The sequence below is a fragment of the Homo sapiens genome, chromosome 7 (genome assembly GCF_000001405.40).
Source record: "Homo sapiens chromosome 7, GRCh38.p14 Primary Assembly".
NCBI classification, from domain to species: Eukaryota; Metazoa; Chordata; class Mammalia; order Primates; family Hominidae; genus Homo; species Homo sapiens.
This window is the reverse complement of record NC_000007.14, coordinates 3,439,139-3,451,549: the sequence shown is the minus strand read 5'-3', so window position 1 is coordinate 3,451,549 and position 12,411 is coordinate 3,439,139. Positions and strand designations below refer to the sequence as shown.

Sequence of the window (12,411 nt, the reverse complement as noted above, 5' to 3'; positions counted from 1 at the left end):
TGCTGATAACACTGACGTCATTTTGATCACATTGATGCAGTGTGATCATCTGCAGAGGCCTCAGTGCAAGGCAGCTCCCTTCCCCGTGTCCAAGTCCCCTGACCCTCTCTCTTCCCTCCATTTCCTCAGAATGTACCCTTTAATTCACAAACAAAAACGCAGCTATTCGCATTCTTCCCTGGCCTACTCTGCCCTACCTCAAACTTGCCTGTGCCTTAAATCCTAAAACGTTCCTTCCTCTCTCCAGACTCAGTGGGAAAGCGGTCCCTATTTTTCCTGGAACTCCGGGCTTGTCTCTTGGAACTTCACAACAATTGCCCCTTTCTCCTATATTTTCACCCTCTCCCCCATCCCTAGATTTAGGACATTGCTCACGTCTTGTTCATCTTACATACCCACACCCTCGCTCAGCCCTACATCATCTCCCAGCTACTGTATCATCCACTTAGCAGCCAACCTATAAACTCCTCTCACTTTGCCTCCCATTCTCTTGCCTGAGCCACTGATGACCTCTTTATTGCCAAACCCAGGAGACAGGTTTGAGGATGAGCTGATGTGAAATCTCTGTGCCATCTGACTGCAATGACTATCGTTTCCTTTATGAAACTTTCTCCTCCTTTGGCTTCCGCAAAACTCCTCTCTTCCTATTTTCTTCCTATGTCTCCTGCCATTCCTTCTCAGTGTCTTCTTGTGATCCTTTGCCTACATCTTAGATGTCTCCATCTTCATCCCTCTTCTCTCTTCATGCAATTATTCCATCTATGCAATTTCATATACTCCCATGACTAAAATACCACCTATATACACTGATAATGTCAAAATCTCCAACTCTTTTCACATGAGCTAAGGTCAGATCTATTCAGCCAACCAATAAAGATCTTCATTTGTCCCCACAAAACCCTAAAAGCCTCCAAACATTTAAGTCTAAAACAGAACTCACTAGCTTCCCATTCCCAAACTCATTCCTCCCCTCGTTTTCATAAACCAAATCCCTGCAAGTCTACTTGTTCCAAACTAGAAATCTACGTATCATCCTAGACCCCTTCCCTTCCTTTATATCCCAAATGCTAGCACTGCTACTTCTTAAAATCTCTCTCAAACATCCCACTTTATTATCTGCCCCAAACATTTCTCACCCAGATTATTATGCTACCATTCTACTCATCTTCAAGATCCTGGGCTTAATAATACCTCATCCACACATTTGTCCAGAGAAGTCCTTCTAAACAGCAGTGAAGAGACCACTCCCCTACTTACTATAACCCACTTTCAAGACAAAACCAGTCACCTTAGTTTGGGGTAAGAGGTCTTCCTCACTATTACCAAACTCTATACATCATCTCTCACATATCGATAAATATGAACACATGTGCACATACATATGATCCAATTATACAGAATAACGGACTTTACCACACACATTTCCATTTTTCTTCAGTGTCTATATTTACTATTCACCCCTAGTTGAAAGCTCCTCTCCCTCCAACCACCCTCAACCTTTATGCCTGGTTAATTCCTTTCTTCCTCTGGAGCGCAGCTCCGATGTGACCACTTCCATGAAGTCTCGTCGACCCCCCAACAGCCAGTCTGATTTGTGTGTTCCCCTCTACGTTTTCATGGCATCCTGGACACGTGGCTAATTGTTAATAAACAGTTCTGCAATGATGTAACCTGAGTGTCCACTAGCTCCTAAGCTATAGGAGGGCAAAGACTACACCCTTCATCTTTATTCCCCAGAGCCTCACAAAATGCTGAAAGCACAGCTGATGTTCAGTAAATATTGGCTGAATGAAGAAATGAACGAACAAACTAGTTACACAGGTCTCTGCCGCTCAGTGTCTTTTGGGTTTAAATGCTACTATTAAATATTCACAAAATGTGCTATTTAATAGCTGCATGTTATTCTATCCTAGGAATGTAGCACATTATATTTCCTTATGGCCTTCCTGTTAAATATTCAAGGTGTTTACAGAAGAATTCTTTGTACTCCAAAAGCCTACTTCTAATTATAAAGATGATCTAACCTAATTCAACATATAGTCAAATCTTCTCAAATCTGTAACTGATACAATTCTTCAAGCCACTCCTGGCTAGAGATACTGGAGTTACTTTGCCTCTCCTTCATCATTTGTATAATGGCAGCTAAATCCAATAAACATTTCCTAGCAGAAGACTGTAGAAAGCACGATTTTGTACCACCAAGCCTGAGGACATTATTTCCACAATGAATGAAAGTAAGATGTGTATGGATCTGATCGCTCTGTGCAGGGCATAAAGGATGAGCCCAAAATAAAAGTGTGAAATCGGCAATTTGCCTTCAGATCTCTCTGTAGGTGCAGCTTTGAGGCACCCCTAGCCCCAAAACGTGACACACAGCTTTACTTGGAGAACCATTCCTACAGAGCTTATGTTGTAAAGAAAGGACTCAATGAATCCTAATTTCTCTGTATGTGAAAAGCAAAGAGCTTTCCTTCTTAGATTCCATAAATGCCTTTCTTCACTATGTTTACATGTTATTGCTTTTACAGAAGAAATGAGTAAATATCCCAAACTTTCCCTTTTTTCCCCAGGGTCTTAAAATTGTTAGGTTGCAAGCTGATTAGTGAATTTGTTCGCAGGAATAATCCTTCCTGTGCTCGCAATTTTAGCCAGAAACAATAAAGAGTAACAGGTAGCATTTGACATTTGAGCAAAGAGAAATAACCTTTTCAACTTACTAAATCCTGCTTTTAAAAAGTCATTACCTTACTGAAAATGGGTTAAGCTGGGGAAAAATGTAACCATTTAAATATTTTTTTAAAGTACTGATGGCATTTAAATTCAGAAAGAAAGGGTGGTTTATTTACTAAATGGCATTAGCATAATAAGTGGCTAGATATCTACAAAAATGCAAAGCTTGACTCACATATCTCACCATATATAGAAGTAAAATCCAGATGAATTAAAAGATATTTATATAAAAAATAAGACAGTAACATTCATAAGAGAATTTAGGCAAATATTTGTAGAACTAAGATGGAAAACCTAAACAAAGATAGATCAATGTGATTACATATATTTTAATTTATTCTAGAGCAAAAAAAAATACCCTAAACCACTTCAAAAATACATAGACTGGGAAAACTTCCAAAATAAATAACCAAACAGTTAATATCCCTAATATAAAAACTACTCCCAGAAACTGGTAAGTAAAAGGCAACTCAATAGAAAAATGGCCAGATAATATGAGCAGAAATTCACACAAGACAAAACTGAAATGGCCAATAAACATAAGCCGTTCAACTTCACCAATATTCAGCAAATGCAACTTAAAGCAACGAGATAGCAGTTTTCACCGATCACATTTGCTTAAAGAGTGATAACACCTAGTGCTGTTAAAGATGTGATAAAATGAACCTTATACAAGACTGCAGTAAACATTTAGGAAAGAAATCTACTAATATCTATACAATGTTAAGTATACATATCCCTTGAACTGTCAGTCCCATTATCAGAAACCTACCCTCTGGAAATCAAAGCATTGTTGTGTAAGAATAAAGATATATAGGCCGGGTGCAGTGGCTCACACCTGCAATCCCAGCACTGTGGGAGGCTGAGGTGGGTGGATCACCTGAGCTCGGGAATTCGAGACCAGCCTGACTAACATGGAGAAACCCTGTCTCTACTAAAAATACGAAATTAGCCAGGCATGGTGGCGCATGCTTATAATCCCAGCTACTCGAGAGGCTGAGGCAGGAGAATCACTTGAACCCGGGAGGCAGAGGTTGCGGTGAGCCGAGATCATGCCATTGCACTCCAGCCTGGGCAACGAGAGTGAAACTCTATCTCAAAAAAAAAAAAAAAAAAAAAAGATATATAAGCTAAGATATTTACCGTCTCATTGTTTATAACAGAAACAAAAAACAATACCTCACAGGAAGCCACCCAAATGTACATCAATATGCAATAACTGAATTAATTAGTACATTCATACTATAGAATACACTCCAGTTAATTTTAAGTGATTCTGTTCTATACATACTGTCCTAGAAGAATGGGGTGGGGGGCAACTTAGCGAATGGTCCAATTTATGAAGCATACATTTATTATTATTGAAGTCCAACACATGTGAAGAGTAAGTGAGTGTGTGTGTGTACTTGTTTGAGCATGGGGAAGAGTATGAAGAGATACACCCTACAATGTTAACATCAGTTGGAGATTAATATCACATTATTTGAGAAGAGATGGTACACAATCAGCTAGGGTAAAGATAAGTTTCGCTTCACAATATGTTAATCATTCCAATTGTTACTATTAAGTTATTTTACTTTTGTAACTTAAGAAAATATTAAGTAAAATATTGTCTCCTCTAATATAGGTTAATGAATAATATCTAATATACTAAGACATATATAAACAATACTGAATTATAAATCTCTTAGAGAACACTTCTTAAATGAGATGTATTCTACTGCATCTTCAGAGATTTTAATAAGATTTCAAGTTCAGAGCTCTATAATCGGTCCCTTGCACAAAAATAGAAACCTAAAGCCCACTGCACATCATGATTCACTCAGATTGCTTCATCGTATCTCCAGAGAACTCATCTGTATTTTTTTTCAACCTTTTTCTTGACTGTTGTTCTACCAATTACATGATGTCTAAAAAGATGAACCAGGCAACAACTGAAAAAGACTGTGAAGAGAATAAACACATGGGAAAGCAATAATCTCAAAGCAAACCCACTTGACTGTTCAGTAATCCACAAACACTTGCAGCTAAAACAATACCCTGGATATTAACTATTCTTTGCAGTACCACTGATTTGATACTAGTTATTTGTTAGGGATTGAATTCAAATAGAATAATAATTTTGTCTTGTTTGAAAATAGGTATTGCTTAAAATTATTATTAACTTATTCTACAAATGCTATTTTATAATGCACGGTGAGAAAATGAAATTAAAAGCAGAGACTTATTAAATTGAGTTGAATTGATCCAAAACATTTAGCATGATACAGCTTCTGCAAGGAAGTTTCGTGGCTCTTACACAGTGTCTTTTTAAGATTCTACTCAAAGTCAAAGAAAGGACTGGCAGAAAAATTGTAATTTTTGCTGTAAGATGCTGGTAGAAAACTTATCAACTATAAGATTGTCTCCAACTTTCCGCAATTGTATGATAAAGTGCAAAAATTTTAGATGCACACAAGCCTTGGTTCATACCTTAACTCAAACATTTCTAAATTGTGTGACCTTAGCTAAGTTAATGTACTTGCATGAGTTTCAGATTCTTTATCCACAAAATAGAGATAATAGAGGGTTTCAAGGTTACAGACAGCATACACCATGCCAAGCACATAGTAGCTGCTTGAATTACAATAACCAATCTTATGATTATTAGCATGTCTTGAGAAAGAAATGAGATCTTACCTAACAGGGAAACCAACTCAAATGACAGAATTTCTCATTAGAAACTAAAGAGGACCAGAAGGGAGCAATAGAACATTTTTCAAGGGCTGAAAGAAAAGAGCTGTCAACTGCAAATTCTATATCCAGCAAAATTATCCTTGGCAAATGAAGATAAAAATTAAGACATTCTCAGTTGAAATAATAAAGAGAATTTGTCTCCAGTAGACCGACCCTCAAGAATATGTAAAGAAAGTTGAAAAAAACAAAAGTGATAAGAGAATATTAGAACATCAGGAAGGAAAGGAAGGAAGAAAAAACATAAGCAAAAATATGGGTAAACACAATAGACTGTCTTCTCTTGAGTTTTCTAAATTATGTTTGATGGCTGAAACAAAAATAATATTGTCTAATGTGATTCTTAATGTGTGTAGAAGAAATATGTAAGACAGTTATAAACAGTGTGGGGTAAGAAGAGTTCAAGGAAGGTTCATAAAATGACATAGAACCACACATATACATTGTACCAATGTCAGTTTTCTGATTTTGATGTGTACTAAATTATATAAGCAATATCCATTAGGAGCAACCAGGTGAGGAGCACAAAGAGCTCTCTGTACTATCTTTGCAAGTCCTTACACATCTATAATTATTTCAAAATAAAAAGTTAAAAGGAATGGTTCCTAACTTCAGTCATGTGAATAACTAAACCATTCAAGATGATAATTTGCTCTTAAACTTTTTAGGGGAGAGACAGCACAATTTCCTTCCACAGTTTAACCTAACTTAACCTAACCATGGTAAAAGTCAGTAAATTCTGTTTTCTTTAAAATACTTGCTCTCTCATTATTATTGAGCCCATTTTTGTCTTGGTGCTGTTTTGTAGGTATCTAAGATTATACCCAAATGCATATAAGTTTTATCAGCTGAAACCCAAGTGTTAAAATGTGAATTCTTAAAAGAATATATTGTTTGACCTGTTAATAAGGTGAACAATTTTAATATAAATGCAGCTAGTAGGTTTTTAATATAAATCTGCCTTTTCAACAGAGTAAGGCATTTTATAAGATACAATAATATGATTTCACTGTGATTTATTTTAAGAAAATAAATACACCAAAATTTATACTAAGTATCCTACAAATATGCCTACTGACTCTGCTGGTATTACCAATGTTTTAAACATTTTAAACTCATCTTTCAAAATTTTTCAAAGTAGTTTGTAAGTAGGAAATAGTTTCTTATCTTATTACTCTACATCACATAGACCTTACATTTTTGTTTGTGAAATTGGCTACTGAGGCTATTCAAACCATGCAGGTAGGGCTCTAAAGGGGATCACATTTGCAGGAGATTTTAAAAAGTCATCTGTGCAAACAGGGAACATCACTTTAGATAAAACTGGACATTAGCCAAGTTGGTCACCCAATTTAGCTGGGGACTGGCCTACTGAAAACAGAAAACCAATCAAGGACAGCAATCTAACAACTGACTGTTGAAAAGAAATATACATAGCTAGAGAGAGGGGACAGAGAGGTGGGGCCATCTAAGGCGAACACTAACGAACAACAGAAGAGTGTGTCCAGTTCTGGGTGGCCCATTTTAAACAGAATTTTGAAAAACTAGAGTTCTCTTATAAAAAGTTCTTAAATAAGGAGAAAATAGTTCCTCTTTTTAGTACTACCTGCTACTATAATTGTATCATGAAATCACCCATTGACTCAATAAATATTCATTAAGCACTCCTAAACACAGAAATACAAAAATAAGAAAGAAGAGACTACGGTAGAGAAAATAATTTGGGGAAAGGAAAATTAAAGTGACACTAAGAACATGGAAGTTGGGGATGTCTGGTAGACATCCAAGTGGAGATGTCCAACAGGCAAAACCAGCTAGCAGGCAGACATAAATACTGTAAGACCACACTGCCAGGGAGACCACCCAAAGAAGAAGGCCAACAGCTGGCAGACTTGGGCTCAGGAGGTAGCAAACATCTCTGTCTTATAAATAAGGACAGAATTAAACCCGCCCTTTCCAGGGAAAGAAGTAAAAAGGGAAACAGCAACGTAAGGTAAAGAAGGAAGAGCAGTATAGGAGTCTGGGAGAGAGCTGGCGCAGGCAGGAAGGCTGCACAACCGCCTCTCTTGAATCCTTTTGCTTCTTCTCAGGCTTCCGTGCTATGTATATGATAGAAATAAATAATGCTCTTTTGTTATTAAACCATTTGTTAATAGCACTCTGTGTTCACATCTTCAGTCATATTGACATCATGTTCTGCTGTGGTTTAGCTGAACTTGAAATAATCAGTTTGCACTTTATTATACAACTTCCAATGGTGATATCACTAGCCTGATGACAATACATTTATAAGAAAGAATCTAAAAATAAAAGCCATTACGCTGCTGACCACCAAATAAAAACAGATTTACTATCTTCAAGGTCACTCAGAGCTGAATTTAACAAATTCAGTTTCCCCTTCGCAATTACAAATGAAGAAAGTAAGCACAAATCAAACCAGCATGGAGGCTAGTGTGGCTCCAATTAATGCCGGCTGTATGAGAAACATTTAAACTTGGAATTCAGCTAGCACTATGGATTTTGTAACTAGTCATCATCTCCTTCATTAATAAGCAGTTAGTGACAAAATCAGATCACATCATCTGTGCAGTTAATTACAAGCTGGAAAATATTCAGGGTATACAAATTTTATTAGCATGGCTGACATCTGTCAACTATTTTGGTTAATTACTCTTGAATTTGGATTCTAGTCTTCAACTATTCCAAATTTTAATATATTTGACATAAACGGTTTGCAAGCTACCATTATCTCTGTTGAGTATTTTTACCTTATTCCTATTCTAAAATTGTCAAACATAAGTAGTGTTAGCTCTCATGCTGACATAGTTCTTGTAGCTAAATAAAATAAACTGTTAATTAGTACAATGCTATCTACCACAAGGTTAAGTTTTTTTGTTAATGCTTATTAAATATTCTCTGCATTGCTATATAGAACATAAAATATCTTGAACTCTCTTAATTACATGTTAAGGATATAACCCTGAAACTTTTCTCTTTACTTGGGAGGGAAAAAAAAAAAAAGCACTTAGATTTTTATTTTTACAGGCTGGATATGGATAGGGTATTGTGTTGCTTTATAAGTAAACATGCTTCCCACACCTCATCTAATCTACACATCCTTTATAGAGCAGGCTTCTTGGGAGAAATTAGTTTTTAAATGAAAGAAGACTGGGGCAAAACGAAAAGATCAAAAGTGTTCGGAGGGAATGGAAGAGACAGAACACAGTGAGTAGAACAAGTAATTCACAGAAAGTAAAGCAAAAGCAGTTCACTCAACAGTTTACATTTCACAGGTAGTCACTGGCAACAAGAACACACAAAAGGAAAAAGGAAAAATGGAGAAAATATGCTAAAAACAAAACATATCAAGTGCACTAAACTTGTACAATTACTCACTTTTAATTTCCCCATGTTACTATAATAATTTTCCATATTCTCAAAGAAAATAGGCTTAGAGAAACTAAGTGAATCCCTAAATTTGAAAAGTTAGAAAAGGGCAGAGTGGTGATTTGAACTCAGGCAGGTTGACTTCATGCCCTCAACCACAATACAACCTTGTTTCCAAAATGTATATTCTCCACTTAAAAGAGAGGTCTTAGGAGGATAGTGTAGGCTCACTCTCAAGGATAAATATGTCCTGAACTGTCTTTCAGAAAGGGTTAATTTGCAATGACCCAGTTACCATTCCATTTGTGGTCTTTATGTAACTGATCAACATGGGTGTCACCTATGGTGGTAATGAATGATCCAGCTACCTGACACATACACGAGTTGAACCTTGGCTTCCTTACTATAATCAATACTCCTTTAGAAAAATGCGGAGCTTTAACATGAAAGGCTATGTGCTATAAAAGACATGGCTATCTAAGTACATATGGCACCCTGATCTCTTTCCTTCATAACTAGAATTAGGCTGCTCCCAATAATAATGGCTTAATCTTCTTTTTTGGAGAATGTGGATATTCCTGAACCTCTGGCTTAAATCTATCATAATCTCACCCAAAATGCCCACCATCTGGCAGGTACCAGCAGGCTAGGTGAGTACACGTAACGGTCAACTGGCATCTGTGGCGTGAGGATGCTTGTGGAGAGCTGCTCTGGATAAGGCATCCCGTATTCATACCTATCATATTAAGTGGGGATTTTGTGGAGAATCACTCAGGCAAATCAAGCAAAAAGACCAATTCCCAGTGTTCTGCTTAATGTAATTTCAAGGTACCCTAAGTATCACTTTTGGTTTATGATCGGTGACACTGAGTGGTTTACATTTTAAACGCAGATAATGGTTTTACATGTGAGAGACTCAGAAATGACTCGATGTTGTTAAGATGTCTATTCTACCCAAATTGATTTACAAGATCCAATGCAATCCCAGTCAAAATCTCAGGATATCTTTTGGTAGAAACTAACAAGCTGTTTCTAAAAAGGAAAACAAAGTTGGGAGGCTAATGATACCTGACTTCAGGAATTATGATGAAGTGACAGCAATCAAAATAGAGTGGTTGCAAAGAGACACAAATGTATCAACGGAACAAAACAGAGTCCAAAAATAGATCCACACATACATGGACAAGTGATTTCCAAGAAAGTGAATAGGCAATTCAGTGAAGGAAGGGAAGCCTTTTCAACAAATGGTGCTGGAACAATTCATGTACACACACAAAAAGAGATTTTGGTTTTTTTTTGTTTGTTTTTTGTTTTTTTGAGATTTTGGATCCACACATGTCATGATGTACAAGAGTCCTCCTTATCTGCAAGAGATACATTCAAAGGCCCCAGTCAATGCCTGAAACCAGATAGTACTGAACCCTATATATACTGTTTTTTCCTATTCATATTTACCTATGATACAGTTTAATTTATAAATCATAAAATAAAATATTAACAATAACTAGTAATAAAATAGAATTATAACATACTGTAATAATAGTTATGTGAACATGGGCTGTCTCAAAATATTTCACTGTACTATACTCACCTTTCTTCTTGTAATGATGTGACATGGTACAATGCCTATGTAATGAGATGAAGTAGGGTGAAAGACGTATGCATTGTGACGCAGCATTAGGCTACTACTGATTATCTGTATTCTTGAATCTGTGTAACTATCCCTCACTTGGTGTAACTCATTTCAAGGGATCCCTTGCTCAAGTCGTCATATAGGCTGAATGATTCTGGCACAACACATTGCTGTCAATTGGAACATCTTTTTGGTTCGTATCTTCCACTCACAAATTTACCTTTCCACCTTAACTAAGCACTTAATACACATTGTGGCCATAACTTTTGCAGTTTGAGGTGCAACAGCAAGACCAGCATAAATTTACTTGTCCTGTTTCACAATTTCATGGATAGATTTGTTCTTAATCTTAGCAACCTCAGCATATTTTTCTCTTTCCTTCTTAAGTCAAGAACGTTCACCTTTTCATTTAAAGGAAGCACTTTCTATCTTCTCTCTGGCACATCCTAATTGCCAACAACACTACTCCTATACTTTGTGGTCATTATTAATTAAAATAAGGGTTACTTGAACACAAGCACTGAGATACTGCAACAGTTGATCTGATCACTGTGAACCTCAAAGAGCAAATCCCTCAAGATGAATCCTGAGGGGCTAACTGAGTCTAATGGTCACACATGTACCCCAAGTTTCCAGAAAACCTACACATCTGTTTAACTCCGAACCTTCGCAGCTTACCATTCCTGTTCAGGCCACCTGAACCAACAGACTGTATAGCCTGCACCAACCAATCAGAAATCACTTGCACTGAGCAACCTGAACTAAGCAAGGTGGACTCCTTCATTTGAAAAAATATACCTGAATGCAAACCTGGGCAGAAAGATGCTCTATAAAAGCTCCATCCTTCCTTTGTTCTCTGGAATACACCTTCATTTTACAGGGCACAAGGGATGGTGCGAGATTCCATCACACTACTCAGGACGGTGCACAATTTAAAACTGATGAATTATTTACTTCCGGATTTCCATTTAATGTTTTCGGACCACAGGTGACTGAAACTACAAAAAAATGAATATGCAGGTGAGAGGGGACTACTGTGAATATGTCAAAGCATATCAAATTATATATCTTAAATATTTCCCATTTACTATATTTCAATTATATCTCCATAGAGCTATAACTTAAAAAAAAAGTCCAGCACAGGGTAGTTTGGGAGTTAATGTAATTATTATCCCAATCTGACCTGCCTCAGGGCATCTGAGGACAGCACAGTGCCCTCTAGTAAGCAAGGAGGTCTTCAAGGGTGTAGTTAAAGCTGTCATGGCCATTCTCACTATCTTCCTCCCACAAAGCTGGTGGCTTTAAATCATGATCATAAAGCTAAATCATGTATAAATGACAATGTTTTTTCTGTTCTATAAAGCAAGCTGTATCTTATCCAAAAGTGCATCAGATCATTAAGAAACAAATTCAAAAAGAGAAATGTACTGACTTTTTAAATCCCATTAGAAAGTATTAACTATGCCATCCCAGGACATTCCCACAACAGTGACTCACAGAGGCATTCCCTTACAGATTCAGAATGAGTAGTATGTTGCAATCTGGATTTAGCTTATGCTTCTTGGCACATTAACTGATTGCTGTCCACTGAGTCTTAGGAAAGGTTGACCAAACCCGAAACAATCTAACATTACTCTTCACTAGTGCTCTAGAGGCTTGTAAGGAGCGCAACAGTAGTCTCTAGAGGAACAGCTGCATCCGGAGCTTGCATGCTACTCATATATGATGACTTGAGAAACATTAGCTTTATTGGTTTTTAAGCAAGAAAGCGACACACGTTTTAGATGAAATGTTCACTCAGGGGAAATAAAAGAGTTTATTTATCTAAATAGGTTAACTATATTGTGTCTAACCACCACCCCAAAAATGTGATGAACTGCACATTTGAGATGTTGGATAATTAATAGAAAGGGGGGCCGGGCATGGTG

At 36.9% G+C, this 12,411-nt stretch overlaps 1 protein-coding gene and 1 long non-coding RNA gene across 2 annotated transcripts in view; both read right to left on the bottom strand.

The window, feature by feature from the left end:
• Window positions 1-12,411, bottom strand: part of SDK1 (sidekick cell adhesion molecule 1) — a 967,749-nt gene that overhangs the window by 817,451 nt on the left and 137,887 nt on the right. The window lies entirely within an intron of this gene.
• The window catches only part of LOC124901577 (uncharacterized), a 49,944-nt gene continuing 40,352 nt past the window's right edge, over window positions 2,820-12,411 (bottom strand). Inside the window, exon 2 of the long non-coding RNA XR_007060196.1 lies at window positions 2,820-11,481. This is a non-coding gene — a long non-coding RNA (uncharacterized LOC124901577). The remainder of the gene's footprint in view (window positions 11,482-12,411) is intronic.